The following is an 18839-nucleotide window of genomic DNA, read 5'->3' on the forward strand; positions in this document are numbered from 1 at the left end:
ACCCTCATACTCTGCTAGTTCTCACCTGATTCCTGTGCTTGGTCTCCCCACCAGCTCTCACTGTCAGATCTCAGCTCAAACACGACCTCCTCTCTGAAGCCTCCTGACGTCTTTGGGCCAACTGACAGGTCCCTTCTCTGCATTGTACATACAGGTCTGCAAACACTTATCTGTAATTCTGAACTCCAAAAAGTTGTGAAAACTGAAAGTTTTTTCTTTTTGGTGCTAAAACTCATTTGGTGGCAAATCCTGCCTGAGCCAGCATGAGGCTGTTGCCTGTCTTTATTTCACTTTACTGCTGGTACATTTTGCTGCAGAAATATGGATGTGATAGATTATGGGTGACATCCTAGATAGTTCCTAAAATCCGACAAATTCAGAATCCCCAAACTCATCTGGCCCGAGTGTTTCGATGAAGGGCTTGTGGGCCTGTGCCTCCCTTGAAACAATTGCTGGGAAGATTTCTGTATTTGGTTGACTAGTTTGTCTCCCAAGGAGTCTCTGATTGTAAGAAAGGAGTTTGCATTCTCATTTTTATGTACCACAAGCCCCAAAGTGTGGTCATGCCCCTAAGTGTGATAAATCTTGGTTGACAGATTATAATTGGAAATATTCACCAAGGGTCTCCCTCTTTCACTGGCACCACCTGGCAGCCATTGTTCAAGAAGGTTGGCAGGGCAGAGCAGCAGGGGGTGGCTTTGGCCTGCAGACACTCCAGGGCTCGACCAGGTGGACCTAGCAGCGCTCTTCCCCAGGGTCATGGCTTGAAATGAGTAGGGAGGGGGCCTTGTTAGTGGATGGAGTGTGGATTGATAACACTCTGAGGATAAGATGCTCCCGACCCACCCTGCCCAGACTCAACACCCTCTATGTCCTCTGGAACTTGGATAAAGTGAGGGTGGGAGACCCTGCATTTATTGATATTAGCTTCTGCTACCCAGTGCAATGGGTAAGCTCTGTATAGAAAATAAAGAAAATTGGGCCGGGCGCGGTAGCTCACGCCTGTAATCCCAGCACTTTGGAAGGCTGAGGTGAGTGGATCACCTGAGGTCAGGAGTGCCAGACCAGCCTGGCCAACATAGTGAAACCCCATCTCTACTAAAAATAAAAAATTAGTTGGGCGTGATGGCGGGCACCTGTAATCCCACCTACTTGGGAGGCTGAGGCAGGAGAATCATTTGAACCTGGGAGGCGGAGGTTGCAGTGAGCCAAGACTGCACCATTGCACTCCAGCCTGGGCAACAAGAGCGATACTCCATCTCAAAAAAAAAGAAAAAAAAAAAAAAAGAAAAAAAGAAAATAAAGAAAATTGACTTGTTGCACACTCAAATGTGTGAGCTAGAAGCCATAGAAGCCACACAGGCCAGACAAATGAATAAAATGATAAAGGAGGACTTCATTTATTTTTAATCCTCAGGAATCTTACTCTCCCATGGATCAGGTGTTGGTTTGTCTTTGTTGTTATATGTGACAATCAAGGGACCTAGCCATTCCGGCGTTTTTTTGAAGTAAGCATGAGGTGGCTGGGCGCGGTGGCTCACGCCTGTAATCCCAGCACTTTGGGAGGCCGAAGCGGCCGGATCACGAGGTCAGGAGATCGAGACCATCCTGGCTAACACGGTGAAACCCCGTCTCTATTAAAAATACAAAAAATTAGCTGGGCGTGATGGCGGGCGCCTGTAGTCCCAGCTACTCGGGAAGCTGAGGCAGGAGAATGGCTTGAACCCGGGAGGCGGAGCTTGCAGTGAGCCGAGATCGCGCCACTACACTCCAGCCTGGGCGACAGAGCCCCCCGCCAAAAAAAAAAAAAAAAAAAAAAAAAAAGAAGTAAGCATGAGGTAGTGAAGCCAAGCGTCCCGAACGTGAGATGGGCTGCCAGTGCCCTATGTGATCTATTTTTGCGGGTGGGAAGGAACCAGCCTGGAGGAAGTTGGTTGAAGTAGATTCTGGTGGGCAGATCCCTAGAACATTGAAAGAGAGCTCCAGATAGCTACCAAAAACAAAACAAAAAAGCAAAACGAACAAAAAACCTAACCATTGTCTCCCATCCGAAGTCTTGGGATTTGGAGGATGCAGGATAATCAATGTTCCACTAGGTGGCACTGATGATCCACATTTGGGGTACCCGGAGTCTGTCTCTACGGCAACAAGTTGACAAATTTATGGGCAGAATTGGCCTTGTCCTCTGGGGTGTGTGTGTGTGTGTTTGTGTGTATGAAGGAGTTTTTGAGTGTTCAGAAAAGTCTGCTCTGTGCAGAAGGGACCATTGATATGCAACTGTCAAAGAGATAGAGAGAAAATCAAGGAAATATTATCATACTGAGCACGGCAATAAGGAACGAGAGAGGAGAAATCACTCCTCCCAATGCAGTAACAAACCACCTTGCCGCTTGGACTCTAATGTTCTCTAATGCATGAGGTTAGGAAGCAGGGCTCCGAGGCAAGCAGGGATCCTGGGGCTGGGCTGCAGGCTGGATTTGCTTTTGTGCAGGATATTACTGCAGGAGCTCAGCCTGCAGGGAGCTGGGGTTGCTTGAACTATGGATGTTCTAGGGATGTGATGATGGAAAATATTACAAATGCCCATACATCTAGTTCTTTTTTTTTTTTTTGAGATGGAGTTTCGCTCTTTTTGCCCAGGCTGGAGTGCAGTGGCGCGATCTCGGCTCACCGCAACCTCCGCCTCCCGAGTTTGAGCGATTCTTCTGCCTTAACTCGGATTACAGGCATGCAACACCACACCTGGCTAATTTTTTGTATTTAATAGAGATGGGGTTTCACCATGTTGGTGAGGCTGGTCTCGAACTCCTGACCTCAGGTAATCTGCCCGCCTCGGCCTCCCGAAGTGTTGGGATTACAGCATGAGCCATCGTGCCTGGCCAAGATTTTATTTTATTTATTTATTTTTGAGACAGAGTTTCGCTGTTGTCACCCAGGCTGGAGTGCAATGGGATGATCTTGACTCACTACAACCTCTGCCTCCCAGGTTCAAGCAATTCTCCTGCCTTAGCCTCCCCAGTAGCTGGGACTACAGGCATGCGCCACCATGCCCAGCTAATTTTTGCATTTTTAGTAGAGATGGAGTTTCACCATGTTGGCCAGGCTGGTCTCGAACTCCTGACTTCAGGTGATCCACCCGCCTCAGTCTCCCAAAGTGCCGGGATTACAGGTGTGAGCCACTGTGCCCGGCCGATTTTATTATTTTAAAGTGATGAGATAATTGAAAATAAAAACATTTCTCCAGAAACAAGATTATTGAAATACAAAATTTTCCCAACAATTGTTGAAACCTGGCATCTCTAAAATTATATATAATGCTTGATATGGTTTAGATCTGTGTCCCTGCTGAAATCTCATGTCGGATAGTAATCCTCAGTGTTGGAGGTGGGGCCTGGTGGGAGGTGATTGGATCATGGGGGCAGATTTCTCATGAATGGTTTAGCATCATTCTTCAGATGCTGTTGTCATGATAATGAGTGAATTCTCACGAGATCTGGTCATTTAAAAGTATGTAGCACCTCCCTCTTTCCTCTCTTGCTTCTGCTCCTACCATGTGAGACAACTCACGCTCTCTCCTCCTTTGCCTTCCGCCATGATTGAAGTAAAAAAAAAAAAAAAAAGAAAAGATGATGTGGTTCCTAGGAGATAGTTAAGTCTTAGCAGGGAACCAAAGATACTTTCAGTTCTAAATCCAATGTGTGCTGCTGACTCTTACCCTTCCTGTTATTCAGAAGAGAGAAGGAGGGAGAGTGCAAAGAAGTTCCGCTGTTGATACCCGAGCATGACATAGCAGCTAGTGTTTTGCTGAATTGTGATGAAGGAATGTTGACAACCTTTTCAAAACTTACAAGGAAAGGGACTCTGTTGGAGGAACTCAAAGAAAAAAGTATCCATTGAAAGGATAAGTTAGTATTTATATTTTAGTGCAATTGTGTGGAATTGGTTTGGAAATTTACACACTGTCACTGAGGTGACAAAAAGAAATGTCTTAATTTTCTGTAATTGTTTTATTTCTCACAGTCTTCTACTTGCTCAGTAGACCGAAGTTAGGTTGGAATGGAGAGGACATTGTTTAACCATTAACAATGTCTTTGTCTCCTTCAGTCTATATAGTGTATTTTCCATATTTAGATATCCTTTAAATAAATGCTAATTTTCACATTTAAAAAAAAAAAAAAAAGAAAGAAAGTTTTCTGAGGCTTCCCCAGAAGCAGAAGCTGCTATGCTTCCTGTACAGCCTGCAGCACTGTGAGCCAATTTAACCTCTTTTCTTTATAAATTACCCAGTCTCAGGTATTTCTTTATACCACTGTGAGAACGGACTAATACAATGTTGATGGTGTAATTTTTTTTCAAATTCTTGATTCTGAAAAATTAAGAAAAATAGAAACAAATAATTTTGGCAAATTGCATGAATCTATCCTGGGTCTTGCCTTTTTTACCCTTATACCTTACATTTCTTCCAGTTAGGAAGCTGGGAACCAAGAAAGACACCATCAACCCCACATGTAAGTGGCTATAAAAGAAGTCATGAATGGCAGATGGACATGGGCACTTGTAATAATACATGATGTAAAAAATTCAAATTATGTTACTGCAGAACAGTTCACACATCAGTGAATAAATGAAATATTAACAAGTAGACATTTTGACTATTCTTTCCACATCCCTAGAAAGTTTGCATATTCAAATTAACCCCCAAACTTTAAAAAAAATTTAACTTATTGTCATTAGGAAAGGGAGAGATCATTTTATATTTATTTGGTTGTCAGGGAAGGCTTCTCTCCTTCCTTGTTCTAAGGTAAGAATTTAACTGTTTCTTTAGCCACTTAACTTCTGACACAGCAGAGGCAGCACACAGAAATAAATGTAGAAGTCTAGGCATGGTGGCTCACGCCTGTAATCCCAGAACTTTGGGAGGCTGAGGCAGGTGGATCGCGTGAGGTCAGGAGTTTGAGACCAGCTTGGCCAACGTGGTGAAACCCCATCTCTACTAAAAATACAAAATTTAGCTGGGTGTGGCAGTGGGCACCTGTAATCCCAGCTGTTTGGAAGGCTGAGGCAGGAGAATCGCTTGAAACTGGGAGGTGGAGTTTGCAGTGAGCCAAGATCGCGCCACTGCACTGCAGCCTGTGTGACAAAAGTGAAACTCCACCTCAAAAAAACAAACAAACAAGCAAAAAAAAGGAGATAAATGTAGAGACAGGGCAGAGGGTTGGGAGCTGTTTTGCACTGGGACTTCCCTGTACATCTTGGGTCTGCAATTTTTAGGATGCCCTGAGTTCATCTGCATCAAGGTAATTTGACTCTAGATTACTACACACTCAAACCTCAGGCATATTTAAGCCATGCTTGTTTTCTCATTAGAATTCTGATAGTTAAAATTTATTTTCCCCATTAAGATTCATTCCTGAATGTTAGTTCTGACAGTTCCCACTCTACCCTGGGAAGAACTAGAGCCACTGCTTGGGTTTGCCACTAATTAAATTAGTGATCCTGAATATGTTAATTGGCCTGATTTGATCATTCCACAATGTATACATATTTCAAAACATCACAATGTACTCCATACATATATGTTATTATTTGTTAATGAAGTGAAAATGAAGAAAATAAACTAGTGGCCATTTTATCTTTCTTTTATCTTTCTTCTTCTTCTTCTTTTTTTTTTTAGAGAGTCTCCCTCTGTCACCCAGGCTGGAGTGCAGTGGCATGACCTTGGCTCACTGCAACCTCTGCCTCCTGGGTTCAAGTGATTCTCATGTCTCAGCCTCCTGAGTAGCTGGGGTTACAGGTGTGCACCACCACACCCAGCTATTTTTTGGTATTTTTAGTAGAGTCAGGGTTTCTCCATGTTGGCTAGGATGGTCTCAAACTCCTGATCTCAGGGGATTCGCCTGCCTCGGACTCCCAAAGTGAGAAACCACACCTGGCCCAGGGAAACAGTATTTCTCTTCTCTTCTCTTTTCTCTTTCTTTTTTTTCTAAAATGCTGGGATTACAGGCGTGAGCCACCGCTCCTGGTCGGGAACCAGTATTTCTGATGATCATTTTTTCTCATTTGAAAGACTGAAGTTAGTAACAGTAGCCCTCTCGTTTCAGGAGAGTGAATTGATACACTTGCCCTCTGTCTGCTGAACCTGTGGGTCACACCCTGGGCTGCTGTCCTGCTTCCCCTTCCTGCAGGCTGTGCTCACAGCAGGTGGATAAAGAGCTTGCATTACTTACCGACAGCTCTTACCCAGGGAGCTCCCAGCAGTGGTGTGTGTGTGTGTGTGTGTGTGCATGTGTGTGTGTGAGTGTGCGTGTGTCTGCGCGCGCGTGCACACGTCCCTCGTGGCCGAGTCCTTTCCTCCGAACCCAGCAGAAGATCTGAACAGGTCTGAACCCCCAGGTCTCACCTCAAGGTGAGACAGGCTCATGTCTTTTTCCACAGAGCATCCGGACTCTGAGCACACCACGGTCGGCGGCGCCCGGGGTTTAAGTCTCCAGTGTTCAGTGACATTCTCAGCTGACCTCTAGGGGGCAGCATTGCCCAACTCCTCCTGCGGCCTCCTCGGGTGTGGCCCAAACCCTTAGTGCCATTCTGCAGGGCATGGTGAGCCTTCAACCAATTGCAGCTGCCACAATGGCTATGATTCCTATTTTCCTTCTTTGCCCTGTGTTGCAGCCACATGTCAGAAACGCCTGAGCCAAGGGTTTTTTTCCTTATAGAACTTCTTAGCACTTCACATCTGAAAATCTTGCTTGACATTTGGCTTATCCTGACTTTTATTGCAGTTTTTGTTTATACTATAATTAATGTCTATATTTAGTTTTAAATTCCTGGAGAGAAGGAATGTGTTTTTATTTTTTATTTTTCTTTGACTCATGATCATCTCTGCTAGCTACCCTTGCACCCCCAAACAGCAGTTAACTTAGAATTAGATCTAAGGGTCTCAGTGTGTGTTGGCGGATGATAGTGTGATGGGTGCAGGGGGTAGGGATGTAGAAACCATAAGTGAGACTCAGAGCCACTCTGTGCCTAGGAATTTCAGGGTATAGCCATATACCATCTCTAAACTCACTGCAGGACTATATTCCCAAAGGCCCTGTCGTTCTGATCCACTCCCCAACCCGATTCCTCATCCTGCTGTTTCCTTATCAAATGGAGACGTACTAACATTAATATTTACCTCATTGCCCACAACATTTGAAGAGTACATACTTTCCCCATAACCTCCTTAGGGGCTGAAGGATGAAAAGAATAGTCAAACACAGCAGCTAGGAATTTAAGGCCCAAGAGGGATCTGATGTCCTTTTCTAAAGCCTCTTGCCTCAGGGATGACCAGGTTGATGGGGCTCACTGGCTATGAACACAGTGCGGCTCTAGGAGAAGCCTGCTGGGAACTTCTCTGCATCACTAATGGTGCCTGTCTCCCTAAGGGACCTGCGGGGCAGTGGCTGATGAAGACAGGAGTGAGGATGCTGGGGGCAGCATGTTGCCCTTTGACCTCTGAACTTTTGATCGTGGTTCTTTGGCCTTACATTTGTGCACCCACTTGTGATTTTCAAACATTGTCAGGTCTCTGTTTGTATTAGGTGTTACAGGGCCTGTTGCAGCAGCCAGTACATTTGATACAGGGATTTGCCTAGAGTCACAGAGCTTACTAATGGAGGAATCAGTACTAGACTGTGAGTCTCTGGACATCTTCTTCTGTGCCGTTTCCTTAAATTTTTTTATTTTTATTTTTTTTGAGACAGGGTCTCACTCTGTGGCCCAGGCTGAAGTGCAGTGGTACAATCATGGCTCACTATAGCCTCAAACTCTTGGGCATAAGCAATCCTCCCACCTCAGCCTCCTGAGTAGCTGGGAATACAGGCACTTGCCACCACATCCAGCTAATTTTTTAAAACTTTTTTTGCTTTTTTTTTTTTTGGTAGAGATGAGGTCTTGCTATGTTTCCCAGGCTGATCTTGAACTCCTGGCCTCAAGTAATCCTCCTGCCTTGGCCTCCCAAAGTGCTGGGATTACGGGCGTGAGCCACCATGCCCAACCATATGCTGTTTCTTGTAAGTTTCACTGCCTACTCAGAAATGTCACCTCTCTGCAGGGAAGGAGGCAGAGTGAGTGGGGTGCCTTGGGAACGCTGGCAGCGCCTTGCCTTTTTCCTGCATTCCTGTCACTCACGGGAGTGGCTGGTCACGTCATCATTTCATGCCTTCTGAGTTGGATTTAATTACTCAAAGTGTAGCCCCTGGACGGCAACTGTGGCGTCACCTGGAGTGTTAGAAATGTAGATTCATGGTCCCACCCCAGGTCTGCATCAGGCTCCGTGGCTCTTTGCATTCACAGTGTCAGATCTTTTCAGGGTATTGTCATGCCGTCGTAAGACCTGTGTGGTCAGAGCTGCCCCTGTTGAGTGAATCGTCATCAAGGTGTGCATGTCAGGGGGCTGAGGGGCTCTCGCGTCCCAGGATTGGATGATATATTCAGGGACCCCAGGTGGGCAGCCCTGTGCGCTGAGTTCAGGGGTCAGATTGGCTGCCGGATGACTCTCACAAGGGCCTCTTTAAGACTCATGGGGCAGACTTCAGGTCAGGTGGGCACTGAAACCCCATGGAGTCCACAGCCCTGAGGGCCCTGTGTCTACGGCCTCTCCCTCACTCACAGGCCACCTTCAACCTTTTGTTCTTCTGCTGACCTTGTGTTCTAGGTGGACAGTTTTTGCACAGTGCTGGGCCATGCCAGACACTGCTGAAAGTCTAAGCATTTTCCCCAATATGAACAGAAAGAAGCTCACTTTATTAACAACATAAATCTAAGAGTAGTTTCATCTTCAAACTTAACTCCCAACCACCAAAGTCCTGGCTGTTTATAAAATGTTCTCCAGATGTGCCAGGAGATCCGCAACCATTGGCGGGGGACATCCTCCTGTGAGCACGTGAAGCCCATCAGTGGAAAGCATCATGTTAGCCGAAGTGGTGTCAGCTTGAACCTAGCCAATTCAGCTGAAGGCAACATCCATACCAAAGGATGGCAAGTGAAAGATTTGTTCAAGGCCGGGCACAGTGGCTCACGCCTGTAATTCCAGCAATTTGGGAGGCTGAGGCGGGAGGATCACCTGAGGCCAAGAGTTAAAGACCAGCCTGGCCAGCATGGTGAAACCCTGTCTCTACTAAAAATACAAAAATTAGCCAGGCATGGTGGCGGGTACCAGTAATCCCAGCTACTCAGGAGGCTGAGGAAGGAGAATGGCTTGAACCAGGGAGGTGGAGGTTGCGGTGAGCCAAGATTGCGCCACTGCACTCTAGCCTGGGTGACAGAGCAAGACTCCATCTCAAAAAAAAAAAAAAAAAAAAAGAGAAAAGATAGTTCATTCATCCAGCTTATTCAAGACTGCTATGCTGGGCAAGGACAGGAGGAGGCTGGGGTTCAAAATCCTCTCTGGAGGCAGAAGAGTTGAGCTTGACCACAAGCAGCAGGCTTCTCTCTTTGTTGGCCACCCCCTGACTGTGGCTCAGCTAAGAGAAACATGTTCTCACCCCAGTCTGGACAATCAGGAGAAATTCGAAAATACTGATGCTCAGCCCCCACACTGATTCCGTGTGCCTGGGTTGAGCCCAGGTGGAGCTGAGATGCACCCCCAGTGGAGAAACTTTATGGTAGGTCACTGACTGATGATTGAAATTGAGCAGGCGTCCTTGAAAAATATGCTGAGTTCTGGGCCTCATCAGAGAAGATGCTGATTGAGTAGATTAAGGGTCAGGCCAGGGACCTGAATTTTAAAAACCCATCTCAGGTGTTTCTGACAATCGTTCTGGGCTGGGAACTGCTGGTCTAGATGACGTTTGCACTATTTAGCTAATGCTCACATTTTCCAAAGAGTATGTTTAATATTAAACCAGTGGTTTTCATTCTGGCTGCATATTATGATCACCGGGGGAGCTTTAATAAAAAATACTGTTACCTGGGTCCCACCGCAGTCCAATTAAATCAGAGTCTTGAGGGCGGGGGTGCTCCAGCACAAATAGTTTTAAAAGCTCCCCAGTTGAATCTAATGTGCAATTAGGGTTGAGAACCTTTATATTAAACCTTGAAAGAACACACAGAATTTACACCTGAACTACATTTGGAGTTTGCTTTTGATTATTGTCCGCTTTTAGTTTTTTTCACAGACCTAATTTGTTATTAAGAATGTAAATTAATTATTATGGCCTGATTGGTGTAAATCACATCGGATTCGTGACTTGCTTTGATCTGAATGCTAGACTTCCATAAATACGGTTGAAGACAGCTCTAGACTTTTGTCTCCCTCTGGCTTTTTGATAGCTGTATCAATCTGTTGGCTCACTGGGCTTGTGAAATAACTAAACCTTCAGGTCTCTTTCCCATGCGCTGCCATCGATGTGGTCTGCTGTGTCAGGGATTTTTGCTAGTGATCCTTTTGCTTACTGTGGTCAGGAATGGAATGGACCTTGGTCCTGGAGAGGTGATGGGGTGACCGTTTAGGGTAGGTGAGTAACAAAAGGGCGCCCCTTCCACTGGGCTAAGCAGCACATGCTTTGCTGGCAGAGAACGGCTGGATTTCAGACCTGCTTACTCCGTCGACCACGCACTTCTGTGTTGGGTGTGAATGGCACAAGCCCATGCGGCAGGAGTGAGGAGGGGGCCCCACTTGAACCACACGGACAGGGATGGTGGAGAGTGGCTCCCCAAAGGGAGATTGAGGTGTTATTCCCAGAGATGGGGAAATGGATATCGTGTAGGCCAAACCAGCCCTGCCCTTAGACTTGGGCAAGACAGGCTCCTTCTCAGGTGCTTCTTCAGGGTATTGTCATTCCATCATAAGACCTGTGTCCAGTGTCTTATTCCATCATAAGACCTGTGTCTTCACATGCAGACGTGTGTTTATTGCAGCATGATTTACAATAGCAAGGACTTGGAACCAACCCAAATGCCCATCAATGATAGACTGGATAAAGAAAATGTGGCACATATACACCATGGAATACCATGCAGCCATAAAGAAGGATGAGTTCATGTCCTTTGCAGAGAAATGGATGTAGCTGGAAGCCATCATTCTCAGCAAACTAAAACAGGAACAGAAAACCAAACACCGCATGTTCTCACTCATAAGTGGGAGTTGAACAATGAGAACACATGGACATAGGGAGGGGAACATCACACTCTGGGGCCTGTCAGGGAGTTGGAAGTAAGGAGAGGGAGAGCATTAGGACAAATACCTAATGCATACGGGGCTTAAAACCTAGATGACGGGTGATAGGTACAGCAAACAACCATGGCACATGTATACCTATGTAACAAACCTGCACATTCTGCACATGTATCCCAGAACTTAAAGTAAAATTAAAAAAAAAAAAAAAGGCCTGTGTCTTTTTCAGTCAAACGTCTCTGCACAGGGTGGGGCCAAGCAACTGTGCCCATCCAAGCCTGAGCCGCACCACTCAGTGCCTGAAATCCCAGCCTAAGCCCACGTGGGTCTTTTCCCTGCACTACTGTGAGAACTTTGCTTTATCTCATGTCTAAGATAAACACCCAGGACATGTCTTGTAGAGATATACTCAGTCTCAGAAATGCTTGTGCCTACTCAAAGGGGGTGTGTTGGAAGGAGCCCTGGGAAGTGTCAGGCAGAGGTCTGATTGATTGTTGACTACCTACCCCATGCTTACCATATGTTTATGCCATTTTAGTCCTTAAAACAATGGTTCTCAAAGCATGGTAACCAGACCTGCAGCATCAGCGCTGCCTGGGAACTTATTAGAAATGCAGAGGTGGGAGGATCACTTGGGGTCAGGAGTTCAAGACCAGCCTGGCCAACATGGCAAAACCCCATCTCTGCTAAGAATACAAAAATTAGCTGGGCATGGTGGCATGTGCCGGTAGTCCTAGCTACTTGGGAGGCTGAGGCAGGAGAATTGCTTGAACACGGGAGGCAGAGGTTGCAGTGAGCCGAGATCTTGCCATTGCACTCCAGCCTGGGCAACACAGCCAGACTCTGTCTCAAAAAAAAAAAGAAATGCAGATGCTTGGGACCACCTGGGACCTGCTGAATCAGAGACTCTGGGGGAGGAGTCGGGGTAGAAATCTATGTTTTAACCCTTTAGATTATTCTGGGGCTTGCTCAAGTTTAAAACTGCTGCCTTAAAACATCCTCAGTCCTTAACATAATCCCCTATGTGTTATCACCACCATTCAGATAACAATCCCCAGGAGATGTCTAAGCTGCCCCAAGCAGAAAGTGGCACCTCAGTGCTGAAATGCAAACCCAAGTCCACCTAGCCTGAAAGTCCTCAGAGCTTCTTACCACATCCACCCTGCCTGCAAAGAAAATCTAGAAGCTAGTTTTTTTTCTGGCTCCTCCTCCCGCTCTCCTTCTAAGGTAGTCCACTCCCTCCTCTTTCTCACTGTCTCTGATCGTGACCCTCCCACACCTGCTTTCAAAGCTTTGTCTGTGAACCAATTAGAGGTTTGAAAAGCTGGTATCAGAAGTGCCCAGTATCATTTTTATGAGACTTCATGAATAAGAAAACAATGCCAACAAGTCAATATTGCGTGCAAATGTCAGTAAATTCCCACTCAATGGCTCCCTAGCCTGAATTTTGCAGAGTGAAATCGATGCAAGTTTTGTCAGGCCTGCTGACTTTAAAGGCGGAGGACCCTGTGCATCCAGAGAACCCACTGAAGGATGTAGGCTGCATCGTCACTCACTCTGGAAGGAAGTTAACAAAAGTACTTACACCTTTAACCTCCAGGGCATTCCTTCCCAGGCTGTGGAGGGGGGCTCCTTAGCCTGCAGTGACCTGGAATATGTTTCCAACTTTGCAGAAGTGCTGAGATCCACAAGATGGCAGCAGCCGCTCAAGCTTCGCACAGGGTCCCTGCTGCTTTTGTAATTCCCAAATTAAAAACCAAACCAAACCAAACCAAACGTACATCTGCAATCTGGAAGACGCCAGGAAAGATCATTCATTCTAGGCCTGCCCCCTTTACATCCAGAACTGTCCACATCAGAATCAATGTGAGCAAACTGCTTATAAAGGTCTTAGGGAAAAGGAATCTCAATTGTTGACTCAATTGATTCATTTATTTATTTACTTCTTTTTCCATCCTCCCAACTTTTCACTCTGAAAAGTTTCAAACCTATAGAAAAGCTGGAAGATGAACATCTTCTTGGTCTTCACTGGGATTCATCAAATTATCACATTTAGCCACATTTATTTCATCTTTCTCTCTCTTCCTCTGGATGAAAGCTTTGATAGTTGCAGACACCCTGACACTTTACCTCTCAATAATTCAACACGTCTTCTAAGAATAAAGACATTTCTTTATATAACCACAACATCACCATATCCAAGAACCTTAACATTGATACATTACTTAATTTATAATCACATTTAAATTGCCCCAACGGTCCCAGCAATGTTCTTTACAATAATTTTCTTTCTTTCCCTTCCTTCCTTCCTTCATTCCTTCCTTCCTTCCTTCCTTCCTTCCTTCCTTTCTTTCTCTCTGTCTTTCTTTCCTTCCTTCTTTGAGATGGAGTCTCACTCTGTGGCAGAGGCTGGAGTGCAGTGGTGTGATCTCAGCTCACTGCAGCCTCTACCTCCCAAGTAGCAGGGATTACAGGCGTGTGCCACCACACCTGGCTAATTTTTTTGTATTTGTAGTACAGATGGGGTTTCACCATGTCAGCTAGGCTGTTCTTGAACTCCTGACCTCCAATGATCCGACTGCCGCGGCCTCCCAAAGTGCTGGGATTACAGGTGTGAGCCACCTCGCCTGGCCTATAGTAATTTTCAATCCCCTGCTACAGAGTCCATTTGAGTATCACACCCTCATGTAGTTGTCATGTCACCTTTTTTGTAGAGCTCTCCTCCTCCGCTTTTGATCTTTTATGACATTGACATTTCTCAACAGTCCGGTTCATGTGTTTTGTAGAATGCCCAGCACTCTGGATTTGTCTTACTGATTCTGGATTATTAATCCAGGTTAAGTATCTTGGCAAGAATACTACCAGGGCAATCTGGCATCCTTCCTGTTACATCACTTCAGGCGGCACATGATGTCATGTGGTCCCATTACTGACGATGCTAAATTTGAACACCTAGCTAAGGTATCAGACCTCGGGCAGAGAACTCATTCTTGTCCTGCGCCTGCAGCAATCCTGAACGGCCACCCCACCTCCTCCCTTGACTCGCTGGTCTGTACGCTCCCTGCAGCAGCCAGAGAGATGCTCTGAAAGTGTTAGTCAGATGAGGCCATGCCTTTGCTCAAAACCTTCCTATGGCTTCCCACCATGCCCAGAATAGCTTCCAAACTCCTTGCCATGCCTTCACAGCCCTGCATGGTCTGGCTGCTGTCTAACTTCTTTTTCAACATTAAAATTAAAAAAAATTTAAAATAAAAAAATTTTAAATTGGCATAATAATTGTACATAATTATGAGGTTGATAGTGAAGCTGCAATACACATAATATATAGTGATCAGGGTAGTTAGCACACTCACCATCTCAAACACTTATCACTTCTTTGTGTTGGGAACGTACAACATCCTCCTTCTAGTTACCCGAAACTATTAATATCTAGTATCTTATTGTTAATTATGGTCATCCTACAGTGCTATAGAACACTGCAACTTATTCTCCTCATCTAGGTGTGATTTTGTATCCTGTAACAAATCTCTCCCTATTCCTCCCTGCCCTCTATACTTCCCAGCCTTTAGCATCTTCTGTTTTACTTTTTACTTCTATGAGAGCAACTGTTTTTAGCTTCCATATGAATGAGAACATGTGGTGTTTAACTTCCTGTTCCTGGCTTATTTTATTTAACATAATGTCCTCCAGTTCCATCCATGTTGCTGCGAAAACAGGATTTCATTCTTTTTTATGACTGGATAGTATTCCTTTGTGCATATACACCACATTTTCTTCATTCATCTTTGTTGGACACCTAGATTGGTTTCATATCTGGGCTATAGTGAATAGCGCTGCAATAAACGTGGGAGTGCAAAGTCTCTTCAATATACTGATTTCCTTTCCTTTGGAAAACTGCCCAATAGTGGAATTGCAGAACTTACAGTAGTTCTATTTGTAGTTTCTTGAGAAGCCTCCACACTTCCTCCATAGTGGCTGTACTAATTTACAATCCCATCAATGGTAGATGAGCTCCCTTTTCTCCATATCTTCACCGGCATTCGTTATTTTTTGTCTTTCTGATGATAGCCACTTTACACTCTAACTGGGTGAGATGATACCTCACTGTGGTTTTGATTTGCATTTCCCTGATGATTAGTGATATTGAACATTTTTTCATTTATTTGTTGGCCATTTGTATTTCTTCTTTTGAGAAAAATCTGTTGAGATCATTTGCTTCTCCTCCAGTCCACCCCCACTGCTTTGTTTGTTTGTTTGAGACAGTCTGTCTTTGTCACCCAGGCTAGAGTGCAGCAGCATGATCAAGGAGCACTACAGCCTTGACCTCCCAGGTTCAGGTGATCCTCCCACCTCAGGGCCTCCTATCCCCACAACCCTGGTCACTGACCATACCCAGCTAATTTTTGTATTTTTGGTCGAGATAGCCTGCCACATTGCCCAGGCTGGTCTCAAACTCCTGGGCTCATGTGATCCTCTGGCCTCAGCCTCCTGAAGTGCTGGAATTACTGGCATGAGCCATGATGCCTGGCCTTTTTGCCCATTTTTTAATTGGATTTTTTTCACTGTTGAGATATTAGAGTTCCTCATATATTCTGGATATTAATCCCCTGTCAAATGAATAATTTGCAAATATTTTCTCCAGTTCCGTAGGTTGTCTTCTCACTCTGCTGATCATTTCCTTTGCTGTGCAGAAGCTTTTTAGGTTTGATGTAATCTCATTTATTTATTTTTGTTCTTGTTGCCTATGCTTTTGAGGTCTTCTTCATAAAATCTTTTCCCAGATCAGTGTCCTGAAGCATTTCCCCTATGTTTTCTTCTGGTAGTTTTACAGTTTGGGGTCTTACATTTAGGTCTTTGATCCATCTTCAGTTGATTTTTGCATATGGTGAGAGATAGGGGTCTAGTTTCATTCTTCTGCATATGGATATCCAGTTTTCCTAGCACCATTTATTGAAGAGACTGTCCTTTCCCCAGTGAGTGTTCTTGATTTCTTTGTCAAAAATCAGTTGGCTGTAGATACCTGGATTAATTTCTGGGTTCTCTATTTTGTTCTATTTGTCTGTGTGTCTGTTTTTATGCCAGTACCATGCTGTTTGGGTTATTAAAACTTTGTAGTATTTTTTCTTTCTTCTTTTTTTTTTGAGACAGAATCTCCCTCTGTTGCCCAGACTGGAGTACAGTGGTGCGATCTCAGCTCACTGCAACCTCTGCCTCCCAGGTTCTAAGTGATTCTCCTGCTTCAGCCTCTGGAGTAGCTGGAATTTACAGGTGTGTGCCACCATGCCTGGCTAATTTTGTATTTTTAGTAGAGACGGGGTTTCACCATGTTGGCCAGGCTGGTCCCAAACTCCTGGTCAGTGATCAACACACCTCGGCCTTCCAAAGTGCTGGGATTACAGGCGTGAGCCACTACACCCAGCCTCTTGGTAGTATATTTTGAAGCCTGGTTGTGTGATACCTCCAGCTTTGTTTTTTTTGCTCAGGATTGCTTTGGCTATTAAGGATCTTTAATGATTCCATACAAATGTTAAGATTTTTTTTTCTATTTCTGTGAAGAATGCCACTGGTATTTTGATAGGGATTGCGCTGAATCTGTAGGTTACTTGGATAGTACCTGCCTACCTTCTGACCTTGTTTAGCTGTTCTCCCTCCTGCTCACTGTATTTACCTACCTGGCCATCTTTCGGTGTTTTTGGAGACATCAAACTGCACTTTCAGTTCTCTCCACCCTTAATGTTCTGGCACAGTGCCTCCCTCTTATTACCCAGGTTTCAGTTAAGATGTTAGTTTCATCTCTAGCTTATTTTTCTATGAAGCACTGATCATCAACTGAAATTAAGTACTTATTTATTCCTTTACTTACTGGTAAGTAAGAAATGACTTACCCCATCCTACAGGTTCCCAAGGTCCACGAAGGCCGACTCCTGGGTTGTTTTGTTTATGACTGCATCATCACCCCTAATAAAGCCCGGCACACAGTAGGTGCTCAGTAAATGTTTGTGAATGAGTGAATGAATGAAATCAGCTCAATGGGGTATTGGGGCTTTTCTTTGTTTGTTTTTCTTTGAGACAGAGTCTACCTTTGTCACCCAGGCTGTAGTGCAGTGGCACAATCTTGGCTCACTGCAACCTCCACCTCCCAGGTTCAAGTGATTCTTCTGCCTCAGCCTCTTGAGTAGCGGGGATTACAGGCGCCTACCACCACGTCCGGCTAATTTTTGTGTTTTTAGTAAAAACAGGGTTTCACCATATTGATCAGGCTGGTCTTGAACTCTTCACCTCAGGTGATCCTCCTGCCTCAGCCTCCCAAAATGCTGGGATTACAGGCGTGAGCCACTGAGCCCGGCCTTGACTCCAGTATTATCTGAGACCAAGTTCTACTCTTTGTGGGCAGATGACCCTAGACAAACTTCTTACTGTTTTGTGCCTCATTCGCTCCATCTTTAAAATGGGACTAATCCATTTCTGTCATACAATTGGCATGAAGAGTGATGTGATGGTGAGTGTGACCAAGCTCAGCGAACCATACTACACAATCTCTAAATATAAGGGGTTATTCTCATTCAGGGGCAGTTTTCCTGAAACAAAGAAATCTCAGTTTTTCTGCGTCTTCAGAACTTTCTTTCTGCAGCTGCCTGAGTAATAAAAACTAGCATTTTAGTCCAGAGTGCTTCCCTGGAAGCCTTGGTGTTTAGAGCTGAAGGGTCATTAAAAGACCAGACGGCAAAAAAATCTTTTAGATTACTGTTTCCAGAAGCTCCGTGGTTTAGTGGAAAGCCCCGGTGCTCTGGCAGTGCCCCGCAGAAACAAAGATCAATAATGCCCTTTGCAATCAATGCTTTTGGTGCTCTTCACATCTGCAGCCGCTGCCTGCCCTGGCACAGCTGCCCACCTGCTGCTTTGGAGATGAGGAGTAGACCCAAGGGTTGGACATGTCACACATCACCATGACAACCATAGCATGTGCTTGTGTGTGTGTGTGTGTGTGTGTGTGTGTACATGTTCCCATGCTATCCACCAGCTGCGGGATGAGGGGGTGCCAGGAGCCCATGGAAGGACGCCAAAGGGCGCAGCAGGTGGCTGGGGATAGGTGTGAGAGGGCTTGGATGGGGAATCAAGTGACAACTTTGCCCTCCTTTTATTTTTTTCTGTTTTTATTGAGATATGATTCATATGTCATAAAATGCACCCTTTTAAGATGTACAATTCCGTGGTTTCTAGTATTGAAAGCTTGTGAAACCATTACTAATTCTAGAACATTTTTGTCACTCCAAATACCCTTTAGCAGTCACTGCTATTCCCATGCACCTCTCCATGGATTTACCAATTTCGGGCATTTCTTGTAGGTGGAATCATATACTGTTGTCCTTTTATGACTGACTTCTTTCCCTTAGCCTAATGTTTTTGAGGTTCTTCCATGTTGTAGATACATCAGTACTTCATTCATCAGTGCTTTTCAAGGCTGAATAATATTCCGTTATATAGCTACACCACATTTTGGTTACCCATTTATCCATTGGTGGACGCTTGGGTTGTTTTCACTCTTTGGCTACCACTATGTTCATTTGTGTACAAGTTTTTGTGTGAACATATGCTTTCATTTCTCTTGGGTAATTGCTGGTTCTTTCTCTTTCATTTCTTTTCTTTTTCTTTTTTTTTGAGAAGGAGTCTCACTCTGTTGCGC

General features: G+C 44.9%; 1 annotated feature.

Moving 5' to 3' along the window:
• Window positions 6415-6474: an enhancer, noted in NCBI's record as "active region_10025". NCBI's record gives its function as "activates an Ori minimal core promoter by ATAC-STARR-seq in GM12878 lymphoblastoid cells {active_cell/tissue: GM12878}" and the evidence as "EXISTENCE:reporter gene assay evidence [ECO:0000049][PMID:35858748]".

Source organism: Homo sapiens, chromosome 15, assembly GCF_000001405.40.
Source record: "Homo sapiens chromosome 15, GRCh38.p14 Primary Assembly".
Lineage (NCBI taxonomy): Eukaryota > Metazoa > Chordata > Mammalia > Primates > Hominidae > Homo > Homo sapiens.